Source organism: Homo sapiens, chromosome 4, assembly GCF_000001405.40.
Source record: "Homo sapiens chromosome 4, GRCh38.p14 Primary Assembly".
Lineage (NCBI taxonomy): Eukaryota > Metazoa > Chordata > Mammalia > Primates > Hominidae > Homo > Homo sapiens.
Genome location: NC_000004.12, coordinates 180,437,354 through 180,459,966, shown reverse-complemented (window position 1 = coordinate 180,459,966; position 22,613 = coordinate 180,437,354). Strand labels below are relative to the sequence as shown.

The 22,613-nt window shown below is 36.9% G+C and overlaps 1 long non-coding RNA gene across 3 annotated transcripts in view; it reads right to left on the bottom strand.

Moving 5' to 3' along the window:
- LOC105377567 (uncharacterized) overlaps positions 1–22,613 on the bottom strand; it is a 158,458-nt gene that overhangs the window by 96,013 nt on the left and 39,832 nt on the right. The gene's annotated exons all lie outside the window — the stretch shown is intronic.

Below are 22,613 nucleotides of genomic sequence, written 5' to 3'. Positions count from 1 at the left end.
ACTATGCAAATCCTAAGGGTAAATAAATAGAATGATATGTAGCTTATCACTAAAGAGGTTTGAAGTTAATTCACAGTCTTATATAGGATTTTAAATCCTTTCAACTCACCTTGCTTTTACTCTTGGTCATTTTAGAGAAAAAAAATATACTGTCAAAAATGCATCTATTCACATCAGGCCTAACTCAGAGAGGCAAAAGTGTGTTGTCTAATAGAATCAGTTTTGAAACAGCTATCAAATATACATGACTTAATTTTGTCTATAAATCTTTAAAATGTCATATATGGGGAAGTTCCATCATGGACTATATTTAAACTTGTTTTTCAGGTTAAAAAGCAGTCATTTACCTCATGTCACTCAATCCTCTATTTTTTGCAATGTAAGAATGTCAATCTGGGGTCATAAAAATGGTCACGTTCTAAATATGTAATAATTTTCTGCCTCTTAGTTTACTTGCTGTTAGGTTGAATAACAAGAAACTGTCTATATGTAAACTTTTTAGCTTCACAAAACAGCAGTTTTATATGGCTCAACATAATATATCAGCTCCCAAAAATCTTAATCAGAATCTTCCTTAGAGATTCAAGTTTGGAAACAAAAAGAGAGAGAAGGGAAGATTTTCTTTCCTTTTTTTTTTTTTCCAGTTGCTACATGGCATTTACCATTTGTCCCCAGAGGATGTTTGCCGCAGTGGACTCTACTGCTTTCTAAACAGTGAAAGATACAATCAACATCGCGGCTTAAGAATGGGATTCCTTGAAAAAGATACATTGAAGCCCTAACGCCTGGCACATGTGAATGTGACTTTATTTGGAAACAGGGTCTTTGCAGATGTAATCAAGTTGACGTCATACTGGACTAGAGGCCCCTGATCCAATGTGTGTTGTTATTATAAGAAGAGGAAGCAGAGACAGACACAGAGACACACACAACAGAAAGCCATGTGGAAATGGAGGCAGAGCCTGGAGTGCTTTATCCACAAACTAAGGAACTGCCAAGAATTGCTGGAGAACACTAGAAGCTGGAAGAGAAGCATAGATTCTCTCTCTGAGCCCCCAAGAAATAATTAATCCGCATGAAACCTTAAGTGTAGTCTTTGTTCTCAAGAACTGTGGGAGAATACATGTCTGTTATTTTAAGCTGACAAATTTGTGTCAATTTGTCCTGGTAGTCTGAGGGAACTAAGGATTCCTTTATGGGAGGTTCCCAAAATTTCCCTTGCAATACTGCCTCTCACCCACCTAAAGCTGCAATAACAGGGCAGCACCATCATGTGATTATGTCAGATTGGATTTTCTGGAGCCCTCAGTCTATGGAAGCCATGCCACACTTCATCAGGTAAATGATGCTCTTCTCTTCATGTTTTATTATGGGATGAGCACCAAAGAAATATTACCCCAAAGGTCTCACAGTGCATCAGTGAAATGAACTCTTCCATGTTTGTTCTTTCATTTTTCCTTGCAGTTCACTCTTTCCTGAGAAATGGGATGAGCTGGTGGTTGAGCTGAGCAATAGTCACCATATCATCGGCAGAACTTGCCCTTCCAAGTCTCTCTGTGTTTCTCTTGCTCACAAACCAGCATTTATTTCACACAAAAAAAATCATGAGAATAAAAGAGTCCAGGGCTGAGTCTGAGAGCATGGTGGGGGTGTAGATAAAGAGTTGTCTTCCAGAAATAGGTGTACATCTGAATCCTGCAGTAAATACAGCATAAGCTCACATTATAAATAAACCATCTCTAGCAGGATCTGCTAACCTTTTTGTTCATAAATTGTCTTAAGTTCTTCAAGATCTGCTGCGTATCAATGTAGAACTAGGAGAAAATTCAGGCATTTGTTAGGTGGATGTTGGGTATACAAAAATGGGAGAAGAGACCAGGCATTGTGGCTCACTCCTGTAATGCTAGCATGCTGGGAGGCCAAGGTGGGTGGATTACTTGAGGTCAGGAGTTCAAGACCAGCCTGGCCAACAATGGTGAAACTCCATCTCTAATAAAAATACAAAAATTAGCCAAGTGTGTTGGCGTGCACCTGTAGTCCCAGCTACTGGGGAGGCTGAGGCAAGAGAATCGCTTGAACCCGGGAGGTGGAGGTTGAAGTGAGCTGAGATCGTTCCACTACACTACAGGCTGGGCAACAGAACGAGACTCTATCTCGAAAAACACAAACCACAAAAAAAAAAAGAAGAAAAATGTTTTAGGGGAAACAACCAAGAAAAGAAGATAAATTCTGGATTAAATATACAGGGAATTAGAACTATATTTTGCATGGTCAACTACCAGAGTAAAGGAAGATAATGTGGTTTAGTAGAAAAAGGACATAAGCAGCATGGTTTTGCCTCAGCAAAGCTAACAGGATTCTCATAAAACTGAGAATGCCAAATGTACACTAAAATTCAGAAGTTCACAAAGAATGAATACAACTTTAAAAAGTACTTCTCATGTAATAGTGAAAGGTTTTATAATTATATTAAAGATGCTGTGCAACCTTTTGAAGTTTGTGGAAATAAAAGTATGCTGAGAGTCACAAAGAAGTAACTCAGAGAATAAATGAATTTTTTTTAATTATTGTTATTTTTTTAGAAGGAGTCTCACTCTGTCACTGAGGCTGGAGTGTAGTGGCGACATCTCAGCTCACTGCAACCTCTGCCTCTGGGGTTCCAGCAATTCTCCTGCCTCGGCCTCCGGAGTAGCTGGGATTACAGGCGTGAGCCACCACACCTGGCTAATTTTTGTATTTTTGGTAGAGACGGGATTTCACTTTGTTGGCCAGGCTGGTCACAAACAAGTGATCCACCCGCCTCGGCCTCCCAAAGTGCCGGGATTACGAAAATAATATGAGGATATTTTCACCGCCATGTGGTCAGATTTGGAAATGCTAGGTATGCATATGGACAGCCCTCAGGACGTTCCAAGGAATTAAAAGACATCAAGATACATCAGTACGCCTAGGTAAGTGTAATCTGGGAATCAGGAAGGAAGTAGAGCAAAGTCTTGCAAACGAGAATTGCTACTGAGACCCAGCTTGAACATGTGTGTACCTGGGCTGCACTAAGTTTAAGAAATTGGCATGGAAAGCCTTTCTAGGGAACCATTCCACACTGACTACCCTGCATTATTGTGAGGCCCAGGTTCACCTTGCTTATTTGTATGATCCCCCTGCTTTGTCTCTGGGAATTAAGTTTTTTTTTGTTTTGTTTTTGTTTTTGTTTTTGTTTTCTGAGACCGGGTCTGGCTCTGTTGCCCAGGCTGGAGTGCAATGGCGTGATCTCGGCTCACTGCAGCCACAAACTCCTGGGCTCAAGCCAGCCTCCCACCTCATTCTCCTGAGTAGCAGGGACTACAGGTGCGTGCCATCATGCTCAGTTGAATTTTCATATTTTTTGTAGAGATGGGGTTTCGCCATGTTGCCCAGGATAGTCTGGAACTCCTGGGCTCAAATGATCAGCCCACCTCAGCCTCCCAAAGTGGTGGGATTACAGGCGAGAGCCACTGTGCCCTGCCTCTGGGCATTAACTTTTGAGACCCATGACCAGATGGAAAACACTGCTCATTGGGAAAATGGGTGCTGTACTGGCAAAGAGGTGGCCTGTTGATGCTTACCTACCAGCTATGCAAGAAAGTCGAGTTTATTAGAAAGCACACACTTATTAATTAAAAAAAACTTGCTGGAGAAAAAAATGGTTATGTTAAAGAGAAACGATCATAATAATGGGGCTGCAGGGAACCTATTTGAATCATTTTTAAGAAGATAATAAGTATATAGATTAATAGAATGTAGAGGTTATATTTTACGTAAATATTTTGCACATCCTTAAGTTCTCTGCCAACGACTGTTTAATAAATGCAATCACTAAGGGCGTTAGCAGGAGAGGAACTTCTTTTATCATAAGTGAAAACAATTCAAGGTAATAAAGAATAAGGCTCTATGGCCATTTCTCTGCCTAAAAATATAAGAAATAAACAGCATTGATATAAAAACCATTAGACTAATTAAATATGAGTATAAGGTAAACATTTTTACTCTTTATCATAAATATGGCCTTATCTAAGAGGAATTAGGTCTGAGTAGCAGTTTAAAAGCTAAGGAGTCTTAGCTTTTTCTTTAATGAGGTTTATCCTCTCTAAGACAATCCTGCCTGTGAGGCCACCACTACCAGACTTAATTAGGCCTTCTGGCCATCATAACGTTGAGCAAGAAAAGGCAACAGTTTATTGCACTTTCTAATGAACACTTCATTTCATAATTTTAATTTATTTGGATACATTAGACATAACTATATTTAGACAACAAATGTATTTGTTCCCACAGCAAAATAGTAAGCAAATTATCCCACTTTGTCACTTGTACATCCCGTTTATCTAATTCTGAGTAGCTTTTACTTAGAGATATTAAACAATGGGATCACTGAGATTTTCTTGGGCACAGCATACTACAACACTGGAAAGAACTGTTCATTTACAGCCACCATGTGAAAACAATTCTGTGTCCTCCAAAACAGAGGAGCTGGGAGGATACTGAGCTTCTGTTCACTAAGGTGCAAAACCTGTTTTGCAGCTTTTCAAATGCAGAAGAAATGCATAAAACATGTCCTGTGACTACAGACCGTAATTAGCTTGGTACCTAGGCTGTCAGTCTTAATAAGTACATAAATAAGTAACATTTATATTAGTATTTTATGGCTATTTCCAAAAAAAGAAAATTAAAAAGAACTTCTCTTTATGTTGATTTCCCACGTTTATTTATCTGATGTTATGTGAATGCCTAGAATATACCAACAGGTGAAAGCGGCCTATTAAAGTGCAGTATCATGTTGTATTGTGAAATATTTTTCAAAAGATCTTAAGAAGTAGTTTCCTTATTGTCAGCCGTATAAGACATAAAAGACAAAAGCCAAAAGCCTTATTGTCAGGCTTATAAGACAAATTTAAAAAGAAATGGATTCTGTATTTGAATGTGTAGAGAAAATCCTTTCTTCTACTGGGCAATTTCAGTTCTAAAAATAGTAAATTCTGAGAAACATTCATGGCATTGTTCAAAATTTAACAAGATGATTGTTCATTATCAAAGTATTGATGACAATACAGAAAAATGGAAAGCAACTTAAAAGTTAAACAGCAGAAAATTGGTTAAATATGTTATGGTATATTCATATTATAAGGCAATATTATGTAGCTATTGAAAATAGGTAAATACAGATTAAACCAAAAGAGTAGATTAAAATCTAAATATACAGAATAACCTAAGAACCACCACCAAAAGAAGCCAGAAAAAACTTTTATTCATACACAAACAAAATACCATAAGAGTATTCACCAAAATGTAAGTAGTGTTTAGTCCTAGATGTTGAGGTCGTGTATCAATTGCTTTTAATTTTATTTTTTTCTTACACTATGCCTTTCCTATGTTTTAAAGTTAAAACAATAGGGCTCTGGTAATAAAGCAATAAGATTATTCTAATTTTGAAAGAGGAATAAAGAGGACTGATACATACAATTCCTAACTCTCCTTTTATCAATATGTATAGGATCACAAAAGATCATAAAGGACTGTTTCCAAAGCTTAATTCCCTCAGGTTCTCCTAAAACTCACAATACTACATAGAAAATTGAGACCTCACACATAGATAAATATTATCTATTTAATCTCGCTTAAGTAAAAAAGGAAAAGAAAAAGTGTTAGTCATAGTTTAGTTCAAGCAATGAAAGCTGAGCTACATTTAGCAAAATACATCGCCTAGAAGGAAAGTATGAGCTGCAAATCTAAAACGAAAATCACATCAGTATGGTTTATAGGAAGAGATATATGGCTAAAAGTAGAAAAATTCCTAAGTGAAGGGTATACAGCAAAGCATACCACATAACAAGAAATGCTTAACATAAACTCAGAAACAACTTTAAAAAAATTCCCCAACAGCAGATTTATGACAAACACAAAATGAAAAGGAAACGTAATGTAGTCGGAAATGTTTTAAAGGATAATGTATGCTGTCAGTTGCCACACTTGGTTTTTATCTGGTCATTGAAAATGTCTTCATGTAGTGTTTTCTAACAATGATATGTTGAAAATGTTGCTCTGAAATGTTTTTTTTTAAATCTATACTTTTTTCTCCTCCTCCTGTTTTGGCCATGGATATAACACCTAATTCAAACAGCCACAGCATGATGGCTCTGGATTTTGTCTTTTTAATGATCAGTTTAGATTGTTCCATGCTCAATTTAACCGTAATAAACCAATCCATCAAATCCTACCTACTCAGTCGCTATGCTCAGACAGGTGATTTAAGTAAAATCAAGTAGTATCTCAGGAGCAGTTACCTTCCAATATTTGAATAACATGGCAGCAGGTCTAGTTCCTAGCCTAGTCACCTACATGGTGACATTTAAAACACATTCAAAAATGTTTCTCCCTGCTAATGTGAGACTGGAATTTTGCTATTTTTCTCAAATATCTTCATTTGTACACCCAATATTGTTGATCTGACATTAACCAACCTAAACTTCACGATTCCTTTCATGTTACATTTTGTTTGATATTTTAAGTCAAACTTGCCTACAACTTCTACCTCCCTCCATGGAGGGTGGTAAATAAAAAATAGATACATGACAATACAGAAATTAATGTATGACAGCTGCAACTCTCCGGGGGGCCACACAGACTGATGGGAGCGACAGATATTTACCAATTAAAATTAAATACAGCAAGTGTTAGGGATGCACATTCTAACAGAAGTGTGTACAAAGTACTCTGAGGAGGAAAAAGGCAAAATGGAGTACAAATTCATCTATCAAGTCTTCCAGGGAACCACAAGAAATGCAACAACAGTGTATGATAAATACTGAGTGAACAAGTGTTAATAAAATCTATGGGAAGCCATTGATTTGGACTGTGCTTCTGTACTACACCCTAACAGACCAACCCAAAATGGAGTCACTCAGGTTAAGGTCCCATGTCACCAAACCAAAACCAAGCTGTTTACTTGTAAGATGTGACCTTCTAAGAAATCAGGGGAGAGGTGAAAGTCAGATTTCCATGTAGGCTGGTTTCATGGAAAAAAAAAAAAGCCAGGAGACTCACAGCAACCAATCTGAAGGGGTCCAGTCAGCCTGAGCTGCTATGGTAAGGGCTTCCTGTGCTGTAACCCATGCAAGGAAAGTAACGTGAAGTAACCTGATACTGACCAGTCCACTTTGTGCACTAGGCTGTTCCCTTGTTCCTGCTCCAGCTGCCTTACACAAACTGACTTTTCTATCAGATGCAGAGGAGCTCCTGTGTACTTTATAGACTGGATGCTGCTCAGTTCATGAATCACTAATAAAAGCTAATTAGATCTTTAAAAACTCAATTTGTTGAAATTTTGTTCTTTGACAGGAGTAAGACCTGCGAGTAAAAGATGAGCAGGAAGCAGTCTTTCAAATAATTGTCTAAGGTCACTCTTCTTGAGCACATCCAAGAAAGGTCCTAAATCTACATCTGGTTATTTTCCTGTATTAGCTTCCCATTTCCTTGTAATTTCAATTTACTAAATGATTCATAATTTATTTTCCTGAGGAAAATAGAATGTGGAAAATGGCCACCTACAGGATGTCAAAAACGCCTAAACTACTAATGAGGTTTCTTTACAATAAGAGTTTTTTAAAAAAATTATATTATCACCAGCATATCTGCAGGAGTTCAAATGTAATACAAATCCAAGATTAAAATATTTAAAATCTTATAAGCAAATAATAAACTCATGGTATTTTACTCTATTCTCAGTTATCAAAAGAAAAATTTATAAAGAGGGTCCTTAACTTACAATGGTTTGACTTATGGTTCTTTGTTTTTTTTTTGACTTTTTGACAATGTGGAAGCTATATGCATTCAGTATCCTCCTTGGTTACAATGAGGTTGCTGAAATGTACTTTTGATTTATGCTATTTTCAACTTATAATGTGTTTATCTGCATGTAATCCTATTGCAAATCCAAGAGCATCTATGATCAATATATATTTCTAACTATAGAAATATATTGACAAAATATTTTTAATATATTGCTCATGTATACAACCTTCAGTTGATAATGATAAGAACATAGCTTAAAAACTCAAGAACTCAAATCCAACATTTTAGCCTTAAATATTATATTTAGATTAAATATTTTCATGTGTAGCAAATAAAGCACTATAAATAACTTCTTCCTTGTTTTGAAATAACAACTTTAATTCTCCTTCAGGAAATATAAAACAAAGCAATAAAAATGATTATAAAATAAATGATGAAGATCACTTAAAGGATAATGGCAAGATCAACTGCAATTTAGGCCATGTTTCAAGGTTCTGAAAAGCTTGATATTTACAAATATTTATCAATCTTTAGTGTCAAATAATGTTGAATAGGTATTGATTATTTACAAGTAATCTATATCCTAATATTAGCTTTGAATTTTGTTTGAATAATATATCTGTGAAATGAAGAATCAATATTTCATTTGTTTAATTTTAAAAAGCAGTTTGAAAGATAAGGATTCTTCTCTAATCCTAAGCATAGGGCCATAGTTTTAGCTATGGACAACAGGATGAAAATGGAGGAAGCAATATCTGTGAGAAACAAATGAGTTTTCCAGTCTAAAATTTTGGAGTGTAAATTCAAAACGGAAAACAATTTAACGTCATACATAATTGTCCTGAGTTTCCTAACTTTTGGAGTATCAGGAATGCCTCACTCCTATTCCAGAAGCTACCACTCCATTGAAGTCCTAAGAACTCTCTCTCACTTACCTGCCTATGATTTCTTTTCTTTAGCAGAGAATTCCCTAAAATAGTGGAAAAAGGTTTCTGAAAAGTAAGTACCCTGTCATGTGTTAGTTTTGATAATGTTTACTGTGGTTATTGAGACACACACAACTGAATAACAAAAGAGCCGTTCTAAAAGTCATCGCTTATGCTTTGACTTGGCATTCAGTGCATCCAAAACCATTCAACAAAAATATTTGTATAGCCTCATCCTCCTCTGCAGATCCATACCTGCCTACTGAACTATTCAGGTAGGGGCCATGTATAATTTGTACTTCCCAACCTCTTTGTTCCTGCTATTCTCATAGTTTGCAATGTCTTTCGGCTTTGCCCTTTCTTTCCTTCCTGACTTTGTCTTTTTTTTTTTTTTTTTTTTTTTTTTTTTGAGACAGAGTCTCACTCTGTTGCCCAGGCTGGAGTGCAGTGGCACAATCTTGGCTCACTGCAACCTCCCACCTCAATGGGCTCAAGCAATCCTCCCACCTCAGCCCCCCGAGCAGCTGGGACTACAGGCATGCGCCACCATGCCCGGCTAATTTTTGTGTTTTTTGGTAGAGAAGGGGTTTCACTATGTTGGCCAGACTGGTCTCAAGCACCTGACCTCAAGTGATCCACCTGCCACGGACTCCCAAAGTGCTGGGATTACAGGAGTGAGCCACTCTGCCCAGCCATAACTGTCTTAGCTATGGAAGTTCTATTCATACGTCAAAGTCAGGCTTGAAAGATTGCTTTCTTTCTCTAGAACTTTCCTCAGCCTCTTGTTTTTCAGACCAAGTTAACTGCCCCCATATCAGTGTTTCCATAGCATTTTTCTCATTTCTTATGGCATTTGCTGTACCTATACTTTATTTTTTTCTCTTTATTCTTGTCTTTCCTACTTGATCGCTAAAACCTTGAAGGCAGGATGATTTTAATATCTACATACACCTTACTGAACACCTTTAATATAATAAGCTATGATATCTGGCAAGTTATTTAGCCTTTTTGTCTCCTTTTTATACTTAGGAATAGTAAAGATGTCTATCACAAAATATTATTATGAGAATTTATTAAATGAAACGTTGAATATAAGTACAACGCCTGGGAGAGCAAATGCTAAAAAAAAATTAGTTATTAGTTTAAAGTAATGACCATATAATGAATATAAGCTTATTTCATGCATCCTTCAAGAAATCTAGCAAAATGTTTTGCATGTAGTAGGCACTCAAATACCGAATTAAATTGATATCTGCAACTATATTCTCTAAACTCTGAAAGCCAAGAGCAAATTTCTTTCAGCAGCAAAATTATTAGGGAATTCTGAAGTTCAAAAATCCTCTTCCAGGGTTGATATACTTTCATAAATTACCTGTATGAAATGTTAAGTTTCAGTAGCATAAACCCAGTCTCTGCTTGATATTGCCTTTCGTGGATAAATAAGTGAAACTTGGGGCCAGAAATCCCAGTTGGATATAAAAGCAAGGCGTAGGTAGAAAAAACACATAGAAGTTTAATATTATAGATCTTCCATCCTCCTACCGTGCTGGTCATTTCTAACTCCAGGCAGGCAGGATTCTAGTCACTGGAAACAGGAAATCGTCACTGACTAGGCAGCAGGGAGCTGGCAGCCAACTTGCGCCCTCTAAAGGAGAGGGAGCTTCACCACACATTTGTGGGCTGCAGAGAAAACCGTCTCTTCTTTATACATCTGTGGATAATGTCACTATATTTGATTTGGCACAAACACACTGAGAAACAAGTATCTTTGGTTGAATTTAGATGTGAGTCTCAGTTTCATATCTACCTGGCAATAATAAATTCTGATATTTACCTTGTAATGGTGTAGCACGTGATTATATACATTAAACCTTAAAATTATCCATCAGAAAGAAATACTGTAAAATCTGAAGAGGCTATATGTAGGTTTTAATCTTATACGGTCTATTAAAGCAGTCAGAATTTTCAAAGCAGTCAGAATTTTCTTTTTTTGTATATATTTTCAAAGCAGTCAGAATTTTCCAACAGTCAGAATTTTCTTTTTGTACATATTAACAAAGCAGTCAGAATTTTCTTTTTTTGTATATATTTATACATTTAATCTCCTTGCCAACTCTAGCTATTTTCTTTATCTTTGTGTAAAATCAATGGAAATAATAATAGTAGCTAAACAAACTTTGGAAGACTAATACTCATTCTCACAGTGAAGGTATACCTCTTTAGGTGAATTTAAGAGAAGCAGTTTGAATAGTAGCTTTTATGAAGATGGAGAGAAGCAGAAGGCTTCCAGTATATCACAGAGAGACGCAAGAAATATTTTTAAACCTCTTCTTTAATAATTCAAACCTAGCCAAAGAAGGTTGTACTCTCTGTTTCTTTGTGGACTCAGAGGTGTTTGGGCATTGGCGTCAAATTGGTTCTTTCCCAAGAGAAGCTTATGAGTGGGGTAAAAAACAAATGGAATCAAATAGAAGGGAGAAAACTATTCTCTTGCATTTATTATAAAAATAAGTGTAACATTATATAGTATACAATACAAAATGATACAAATGAGTTTTAGCACCTGTTAAAGAAAGTTTATGGGAGGCCATTGTTTTGGACCAGCCTCCTGCCCTAGGCCCCAGCAGACCAGATCAAACTAGAATGGAGTCACATATGCTAAGTGCCACCTACTCAAATTGAATTTTGAAACTGCCCAGTTTTCCAAAAAAAACAGGAAAGTCCAGTTGAACTTTGTTAGCATAATAAGGAAGTCCTCTCTGATTTTAACCCCATAAGAGAAGTCACTTTGAAATGATTCATCTGCTTTTTATTCACCATTTCTGCCTTCTTCAGACCTTTCCTGCCTATGAAACCAATTTCCTCGGCTCAGCTCATCTGAACATTTATTTTATTTTATAAAATGATGTGTTGCCTGATTCTAGAACCTCTGAAAACCATTAGATATTTAAACTAAATTTGCTGTTATTTTGCCTTTGACACATCTTAAATGTTTAAATATCTAGAATGAAAAGTGGTAAAATATTTTTAAATGTAAGTATAATATAAGAATATAAGAATATGTTTAGTAAGATTTTCAAAAGGGGCATTGTGAATATGACAGAGTTCTTGATTTAAACTATGAAGTAGTTTTTTTTTAACAGATTGTACAAGGTAAGACATGTTTTAGAATTGTTATCTTAAAATAACATGTTGGCATCATTATTATCTAGTTTTAATGGGTAAGTTTATGAGTAATATTTTTATGCACTTCTACATTTTCAAAATTTTGACTAGAGCACACTTTGACTTTATAATGAGAAAAGACTTATTAAACAAATAAGGCCAAATGCATGCAATCAATAAACAAAGATTAACAGACAAGTAGTTTCAATTCAGATCTGTGTTTTTATACGTTCTGCTTTAAATGTATAATTTATCTTCCAACTTCTTTCTATAGATCATAATTGCATTGATAGTTGCTGCTGGCATTTTAAATTTAAAGGTCCCATTTTTTTAGAATAAGAGAAACTCCAAACCTCAGCATCACAAAATATAACCATGTAACAAACGTGCACATTAACCCCCTGAATCTAAAATAAAAGTAGAAATTCAAAAACATAAGCTAATTGAATATTAACATTTATCTCTTTTTTTTTGCTTTAAGTTAAAGTTTGAAAAATAGTAAATTTGAAAGCTGACATAATTCAATTACACATGTTTTATATGGCATTCTTTTTAATAAAAGTGATTTCAGGAAAAAAAAAAAAAGAAACTAGACAAGACTCATCAGCAGTAACAGCCTGAATGCAGGAGATTCAGAGTTTTACACTGTCAAACAAGAGGGTCCATGCAAACTATCAGAGGCCAGAAGTATGTGCTCATATGCATTTAGTTTGCAGACACAGAGATATAGAGCCTCTGGAGCATCGAAAAATAAAACATATAATAAAGGTCTATGTCTACCTAATAGTTAATTGCAAAATCCTCTATAACTCTTGAAATCCCACATCACTCTTGAAAATCAGCTACCGTCTAAAGTACCAAAGTTGCAAAGAAGGCAAAGAATAAATTAGTGTCACCTGTTCCATTCCCATCTCTACATGCTCAAATCATGAATCTTCATTTCTTTTCTTTTCTTTCTTTCTTTCTTTTTTTTTTTTTTTTTTTGATAGGGTCTCACTCTGTCACCCAGGCTGGAGTTTGGTGGTGCAGCCACAGCTCTTCATGCAGCCTTGACGTCCCATGCTCAGATGATTCCCCTACCTCAGTCTTCCAAGTAGCTGAGACTACAGGTGCGTGCCACCGTGCCAGGCAATTTTTTGTTTGTTTGTTTGTTTTTTGATAGAGACAGGGTTTTGCCATGTTGGCCAGAGACAGGGTTTTGCCATGTTGGCCAGGCTGGTCTCAAACTTCTGGGCTCAAGCAATCTGCCCACTTTGACCCCCCAAAATGTTGGGATTATAGGCATGAGCCACTCTGCACCAGGTTCTTCATTTCTAAGAAGCTAAGTGGTTTCTGGCAGAAACAGAATAAAAATGGGCTACCTGGCATGGTGACTGTTCTACACTATCTCATAACTTTCTTCTTCCTTAACGCTATACATTCCACAATTCAGCTGGCTTTCTTTTGCTTATATTTTTCAGTAAACAAAGACAATTTATTACATAATTTGTTTTGAAATTTTGGTTGTGAAAAATGTTTTACATTTGAACGAAGATGTCAAATGACAAGAAAACAAGCTCTTAGCACTTGGGATTCAGCAGTGCTCTGCCCTAGTGTTCAGCGACTTTATGTACTCAGTTATTTACAGATCCAAGTATATGCTCACTTAGTATTAAAAAAATAGAGGAAGAGACAGCCAAATATAGAAGATTCTTTCGCAGCACTATGGTAATTTGACAAATTTTCCACATTAAAATGATAGTTATATTCTAATTTAAGGAGAGTGAAATTGAGACTGAAAACTGGTTCCTTATTTCAGATGCATAGGGCAACATACCTCAAGAAATATGGCTCTGCCTAGTTACACGGAGACGTGTGCTTTAGGAAACAAAGTGCTCAGCCTCGTGTTGCTATAGCTACACTTGTGTACCTGTAAGAATTCTGCAAAAATGAATCCCATTATATTGAAGAACAAAACACCAGAGACATTTCACTTGACAGAAAATTTAAATATATCTCCTTACAGAATATGCATCACTTTTAGTCACTTTGCAGGGGAGTGACCTGCTACTGTAGTAGTTCCATTCATTATATATGCATAAATTTTAAGACTATTGCTATTTGCACAGTACAAAAGAAATATTTGCATGCTGGGACATAATGAGAATCCATCACAATGAAAAGTTTCATAGTTTATGGGAAAATGTTTAGTTTTAATATGCTTGGTTCTTCAATTTGGGAATATGCCAAATTCTTTTGTAAAATCCTGTAAATTAGAAAGATCTTCCCCACTCCCTCATCAAATGCTTCTGGACCATAGGCTTCACCTCTGTTGCTTGTCATGATAAAAAAAAAAAAAGTTGATAGAATAAAAGGGAAATGGAGATTCTTCTTTTTCTACAATAGCAAGGCTTATGAAAAACTAGCATTAGTTCAAGCCAGAACCAAAAATCACAGTTCATTTATAAGCACTAATATTATTTACACTACTATCCTGCTGTTAATCATGTTATAAGGAACAGGCCTATGAGACATGCTGTTTCTACTTTTTTCCATTATCTCATTTTCAATGAATTCCTTTAAACTTTTTCTTCTGATACAGTCTAGAGGCCCCATCATGCTGTCTTTAGGATCATAATCCCTTATGTCTGAGACCTTGGCTTGAAGCCTTGACAATGTTCTTTATCAGTTGTCCAACTCTTCTACTAAATGGTGCTAATCATAGAATCTACACCATGTATTGGTTGTGAGGTTAAATGAGAACTCTTACCCCAGTGCTGAACCCAGTAAGTTCTCTGTGTGAGTTCACTATTATCATTGGTAATTTTGCAGGAGCAAACATAATAGCAATTATAATCACTATGGCACACTGTACTACCAGATAGCTGGTAAGCAGAATAGATAAATCTTATCAATCGCTGTGACTTGAGCTATTAATGGCCCAAAACTTAACTACAGTGCTTTTGTCCCCATACTTCGTGTTAGCATTAACTCTCAAGCAAAGACATTTAGTCATTTAAAAACATGTTTTAAAGACACATACATAGCATATGTTGTTTTAACCTAGAGGTCTTTTCTGTAACATTGATCCTGAGGATGACATTATAGTAATAATTATGCTTGGAAATTCATCCACTTGCAGATGCTTACAACCCTGTACCAGAGTTGAAGTGACAAACCAAAGACAACCTGTGCTCTAACAAACATTCAAGTATTACCTCTATTTAGATCTAAATTTATGTGTACGTCATAGTCATATCTATACCTATATATATAGAATTATAACTTACAGGTAGTATTTGAAAAATTATAATGAATCAATAAATCCTACATTTTTTGCAGATTTGTCATGTTATCTAGACAAAATCCTTCTAAAAACATTAAAGCAAAACCACCTTCTCAGCTGTTACACAACAGAACTACCTCTCCATCCTGTTTGCCAAATAAAATTCTACTTTCTTTCATGTTTACCATTCTATCAGGGACACCCCCAATTCCACTTTGGTCTGTATCAAACGCTTTTAATGCCACATGCCAGCACATAATTTCCACTTATTTTAGTGTTGAGTTTTCCTGCCTTCATTTTATTTTATTTTTTTGAGTTGGAGTCTCGCTCTCTTGCCCAGGATGGAGTGCAACGGCATGATCTCGGCTCACTGCAACCTCCACCTACCAGTTTCATACAGTTCTGATTCTCCCACCTCAGCCTCCCAGGTGGCTGGGACTGCAGGTGTATGCCACCATGCCTGGCTAATATTTTTGTGTCATTAGTAGAGACAGGGTTTCACCATGTTGGCCAGGCTGGTCTCAAACTCCTGACCTCAAGTGATCTGCCCACCTCGGCCTCCCAGAGTGCTGGAATTACAGGCGTGAGCCACTGCACCAGGCCCTGCCTTCATGATTACTTACCTCCCCTTTCATGATGCCCAATCTCAAGAGGTGCCCCTCTGCAAACAGTTATCTGCCTTTGAGACATCACGGCTGTAGACTACTCATCCTCGGCCTCTATTAAATTATCTGGTTATATTTAGTGACAAAAGTGAGACAATTCTTTCCCCTGTTATCAATGCAGCATATCCTGGGAAAACACAGTCATGAGTCAGTCTCTTATATAAATATACTTAAGATTTTTACTATTCTCTAGATTGAAACTCCTCAGTGTTTAATTCATATGCAAATCACATGAGGAAACTGATGAAAGGTAGATTCAGATTCCATAGGCCTGGGGTGGGACTTGAGAATTCAGATGATCCTGATGAGGCTGTTCCAAGGTCTACGCTTTATCAAACCAGGAGCTAAAGTGATCCTAATGCTATCCTTTATTTTGATAACTGTCATTTCATTCTACTTTATTAATGTGAAATTTGGCATATTCCTATATAATTTTTGTCCCATAAATTCTAGCCTTCCATAATTCAATGTTTAATAGGACACAGGCTACTTTCTGGAAGTTTAACATTGTAAACGGCATGCATATCTTCTGGTAGAGACTTTTATGAATCTTTTCCACAATATTTCAAACAGTTATCTAAACGCTGGGCACGCACATACACATAAACAGTGACAGGAGCTGGAGATTTTATTTTTTCTCTCATAATCCTCATCAAAAGGATATTCTAGGACATTATCAGATGACATTGGTAAAATAAAATGATATATGAGAGCATTTTAAATTTATTTTTTATTTTCCATTTTTTGGGAGGGTGTAGGGTAGATGAAGATACAACAAAGTTTCAAGTCTCTCAACTACAGGAGATAGTAACGATGCCTGAAGTCTCTCACTTTATTCATACAAAAACTCTTATATACAATAAGATGAGGTGTTTTTTTGTGGTGGAGTACATTGTTAGTGATGTAATGATTCACGATAATTATTTCCATCATTCTTAGCCAAAGACAGCCTGGGACAAAGTTGGGTTTAAATCTTAAATCTTAGTTCTGCCACTAACTAGCTTTGTGACCTACAGCTCAATCTTAGGAAATGTCTGACACTTAATATTCATTTGATTATTCATTACTAATACTTTTCATACTGGCATATTACAGAGAACTTTGAAATTATAGTTGTGGACATGACCATATGGCAAGAATGAGGTAAGGGTGGATGGCTGTCTTGGAGCACACAAGAGCAGGGATGCTAGGAGGTTTTATAGAGCCTTCAATTTTCCCACTGGTCCCTTCCTTACGTTTCCAAGTTTTTCCTCATGTTATTGATCTAAACCTGCACAGGGATAAAAAAAGTTATAGAACATAACTAAGATCAGTGAAGAAATTAGCTACTAGAAAATAGCGACAAGAATCAGAAGTCCTCAAATTCATAAATTGACAGAAAATTTGATGTCCATAAAGTTTATGTTGACCTAAATAAGGGCAAAAATATATTCTGAATATTCCAGCTAAATGTATCCATCTAATTATTTCTTATATATTCCTAAAAAAGATTTCAGTACCATTGTCTTGAAAATTGTATAAGCAACACACATCCTTACTATCTGCATTTTAAATTGAATTAAATAAAGAATAACCTATTCTACTTAAATTTATAAACAGTGAAAAACAGTGTTAAAATTAAACACAATTTTGAAAAAAACGTACACTGATAAATGGCCAAGGAAATTTTAAACATATATGCATTTAATTGCAGTATAATATTTCCAACTATGAATCAAGTGAATTTCCAGAATTTTCTCAATAATGAAATTTATGGGCTTCAGGTTCATTATTATGATCTTGAGGAAATTTCACAGGACTGCAGTGCCATCATTACACTGTTCCATTACACCTCTTAGAATGCAACCATTTTCATTTAGGGCACAGGTAGATATTGAGTCAAATGTGACGGCACATTTATTTGATGTTATGGAATAGATATAAATATATTATTTACATTTGATTACTTTGCAAACAAACTGTTATTATATAGTTATTTCATGTATTTATTTTTTGGGATTGTCTAATGCGGTTTTAAAATTTCTTCCTGATTTGAGAGATATAACTCACTGTTTATTCTGGAGAATTAAAATATGCAAGTGAATTATTGAGATATATATTTATAATTTAATTTTATTCAACAGTCAAATAATACAAATGTAGAAATATTACTTTCTAAATCTATGGGGATGCATAATGCAAAATTATAAATAACTTAAACCATACTGAATACGTTTGAATAAAATTTTTACTGCTGATTCCTCCTATATTTAATTACTAGTTATATTATGTATTTTTCCTCCAGGTACCAGATACTTTAAATAACAAATGCTATTTTTATGGTGCATTATCATATCATTTAGAATATGAACTGATTATACATACTAACTTGAGTTACACATTATTCTCACCCCTAATGCTGATTTGGATACATTTCTGTACTGGAAAATATAGGAAGGCTGAAGCACCAGCTAACATTTATATGACAACAGAAAAACCCAAATAAAAAACATTTGGATCTGAACTAAAGTGAATGCATCTGATGAAATCTAAATTGCAATGGCATAACATTATCTGGTAATGTTACCATAAAAGAACTGCTGCTAGAATCCAAATTTACCTTACAGATATCACAAAAGTTAAGTGGTGTTACTAAAATTTGATTCTTAGGACGTTTCTATGGGAGGCAAGTGTATTCAAATGTTCTGTGCAATTTGACTCAAGATGTCTTTTTCAGTAATGATCATTTATAAGGCTTGTAATGAAACACAGACAGTGAGAGAACACATGGTTATGTGGGTGTTAGGAGGGTAAACGTAAATTCCCGGCCCTGGAACCAATTTCTTGAAAAAGGCTTCCCTCCATCACCTCATCCTAGTTCAAAACAACTAATTGCACTTCAAAATTTTAAGGAACAAGTTAAATAAGAACAAGGACTGGCATTTCACTATTATGGCCAAGGAGTTAATTATTCCTAATTATATGAAATCATTTCCAAGTATATCGCTTAAAATTCTTGATTTACTAGGGTTGGGAAGTTTGGGGGAGTAACTAGGTGAGGTCTTAGCCACATCTCTGTTGTACCTATGGGCTCATCTTATGCGAGTGCTTTCCTTGCTTGAGACTGTTAACAAGAATAGACTCTAAAGAAATAGCACAGGCTGGACCCGGTGCCTCATGACTATAATCCCAGCACTTTGGGAGGCCAAGGCGGGTGGATCTCGAAGTCAGGAGTTCGAGACCAGCCTGGCCAACATGGTGAAACCCCATCTCTACTAAAAATACAAAAATTAGCCGGGCACAGTGGCAGGTGCCTGTAATCCCAGCACTTTGGGAGGCCAAGGCGGGTGGATCTCAAAGTCAGGAGTTCGAGACCAGCCTGGCCAACATGGTGAAACCCCATCTCTACCAAAAATACAAAAATTAGCCGGGCATGGTGGCAGGTGCCTGTAATCCCAGCACTTTGGGAGGCCAAGGCGGGTGGATCTCGAGGTCAGAAGTTTGAGACCAGCCTGACCAACATGGTGAAACCCCATCTCTACTAAAAATACAAAAATTAGCCGGGCACAGTGGCAGGTGCCTGTAATCCCAGCTACTCGGGAAGCTGAGGCAGGAAAATTGCTTGAACCCGGGAGGCGGAGTTTGAAGTGAGCCAAGATCACGCCACTGCACTCCAGTCTGGGTGATAGAGCAAGACTCCATCTGGGGGAAAAAAAAAAAAAAAAAAAAAAGAGCAGAGAAGCTCTCTGGATTGTGTGGGAGAACAGAACAACACATTTCATTCAGAATGATGTTGGAAAGTAGAAATTGAAATATATATCGGTCCTGGACTTTTTCAGGTGTTCTAAAATTCCTTTGGGCTTTCTGTTTTGTGGAATGATTCTTGGACTCAATTCTCCACATATGTTCCATTTACTGGTCATTAAAAATGATTTGAGATACAGAGCAAGAACAATCAATTAACTACGGGCACAAAACACACAGGGATCTCACAAACAATACTGAGTGAACAGAAGCAAGACTCAAAAAAGTACTAATTGTATGATTCAATTTATATCAGTTCAAAACTGAGGAAACTCATCTATGGTGTTAGAATTGAGGATGGTGGTTACACTTACGAGGGAGTAAGGAGAGAGGGAGGAATAGTAGACGACAGGGACTTTCTCTAGTTTGGATTGAGTTGCAGATTATATGAGTAGGTTTAGTCTGTGAAAACTCTTTGAATTAAACACCCATTATTTGTGAGCAAGTTGTACTTTAATAAAAGTTGATTTAAAATGATTTGAGGCAATCAGAGAGGGAAGATATTTATATGGTCTATAGTGGTATTTACATTGTGTAAATTGTGTGAAATGAGTAATGTCAACCTGTTTACAATGACTAGATTAATTCATTTAGAAATAATAAGGCCGGGCACGGTGGCTCACGCCTGTAATCCCAGCATTTGGGAGGCCGAAGTGGGCAGATCACGAGGTCAGGAAATCGAGACCATCCTGGCTAACACGGCAAAACACTGTCTCTACTAAAAATACAAAAAATTAGCCGGGGGTGGTAGCGGGTGCCTGTAGTCTCAGCTACTCAGGAGGCTGAGGCAGGAGAATGGCGTGAACCCGGGAGGCAGAGCTTGCAGTGAGCCAAGATTGTGCCACTGGACTCCAGCCCGGGTGATAGAGTGAGACGCCATCTCACAAAAAAAAAAAAAAAAGAATAAATAATAATAATAATAATAATAATAATAATAAAATGAGGAAATACACCAATTTTATCTTGGAAGAAATCTGTAATCATAAACCAGGTTCACTGCTGAAATGAAGTACTGTTCTCATAACGATAGATTTCAATTTTGTTTGAAATAAAAAAATGAAAAATGATTTTCAACTTCTGTTTTTTGGTGGTGGTTGTTCGTTTTTTGAGACAGAGTTTCGATCTTATCACCCAGGCTGGAGTGCAATGGCACTATCTCAGCTCACCGCAACCTCTGCCACCTGGGCTCAAGCGATTCTCCTACCTCAGTCCCTCAAGTAGCTGGGATTATAGGCACCCGCCACCACGCCCGGCTAATTTTTGTTTTCTTTTTTTTAGTAGAGAAGAGGTTTCTCTATGTGGGTCAGGCTGGTCTCCAACTCCTAACCTCAGGTGATCCACCCGCCTTGGCCTTCCAAAGTGCTGGGATCACAGGCATGAGCCACAGCTTCCGGCCTAATTTTTTACCTCTGAACACCCTATGGATAATAAAATCCATTTCCTCATTTAAATTATCCGAGTTTATCAATAAATTGCATAAATACTTATAGTCAGGTACGTGTCACATGCTTTGCAAATATCCAATTCTACTTTCAGAAAAAATAAAGAACTTTTAAAATATTCCTATTTGACAAAAAGGAGGAAATGAGACTCAGAAGTTTGAAGTATCTTCTCTGGGATCAAATTACCAGTAAGAATAAGAGCTCTAACATTAATCTTGGATTTTCATTCATGACACCAGCCGTTCTCAACATCTGGTGTAACAGAATGAGACCACTGTGCAGCAGAGGGCTCGTTCAACACAGACTGCGGCAATCCACTCTCGGGTCTTCTGGTTCAGTGGGTGTGGATTGGGGCCCAGGAACATGCATTTCGAACAAGTTCCCAGGTGACACTGCTGGGGCTGGTGGAGACACTTTAGGACCCCTGTGCTACCCCAGGCTGTCTGTGGTTTCTCTCCCTTACTTGACTGTGCCCACCTTGAGGTTTAGAGCCTGGTCCCTTTATTAGGTATCACTCTATTCCCAGAGCCTAACAGAGTGTTTGGGATATAGGAGGCATCCAATAAATACATAGGAATAAGTAGATGATTGAAGAAAGTCTTCTTTTTTTTTTTTCTTTTTTTTTTGAGACAGAGTCGCTCTGTCATACAGGCTGGAGTACAGTGGTATGACACAGCTCACTGTAGCCTCCACCTCCCAGGCTCAAGTGATTCCTCTGCCTCAGCCTCCCGAGTAGCTGGGATTACAGGCATGCACCACCCCCTGCGGCTAATTTTTGTATTTTTAGTAGAGACGGGGTTTTGCCATGTTGGCCAGGCTGATCTCAAATTCCTGACCTCAAGTGATCCACCTGCCTCGGCCTCCCAAAGTGCTGGGATTACAGGCATGATCCACTGTGCCCGGCCTTAAAGAAAGTCTTTACAAGATACTTGGAATGGCTCAGCTCCTCTTTGAATCCAGTTGAACATAAATTGCTGTGATAGAATTCCAGAAGGTGAGGTGAACTTCCTCATTTTACAGATGACGAACTGAGTTCCAGAGACCACAAGTGAACTGCCTGAGGATCAGGAAGCCAAGACCACAACAGCTGCCTGTTAGTATTTTCCTTCTTTAAAAGAATACAGCTTATTAAGCTGTCTAGGGAAACTACGGGAACTTCAGACAATAAACCATTTATCTTAGTGTTTTATCCGTTGTTTCAAACTGAGATGTGGGAAATATAAGAATTCAAATGTGTGTGCTCAACACAGATTTCATGCCTATGATGCACCAGGCACAGTGGAGAGCGTAAGAGATTTGTAAAGCACAGTCCCTTCCATCAAAATCGTACCTTCCAGTTAGGGAGATGAAATTCACACATAAATCCCACGCAGCGATACCAGTCAGCATAAATTGAAAGTAGTGCGGTGCTTGTTATGCATCCGCTAGTGCCGACAGAAGACGAGTGCTCTTTAGAGATGATAAAGCTTCAAGAAGAGGTGGAGTTTGAGCAAGGCCTAAAAAAATGTGAACTGGCAGGAGGAGAGGAGCTTGGAGAGTAAAA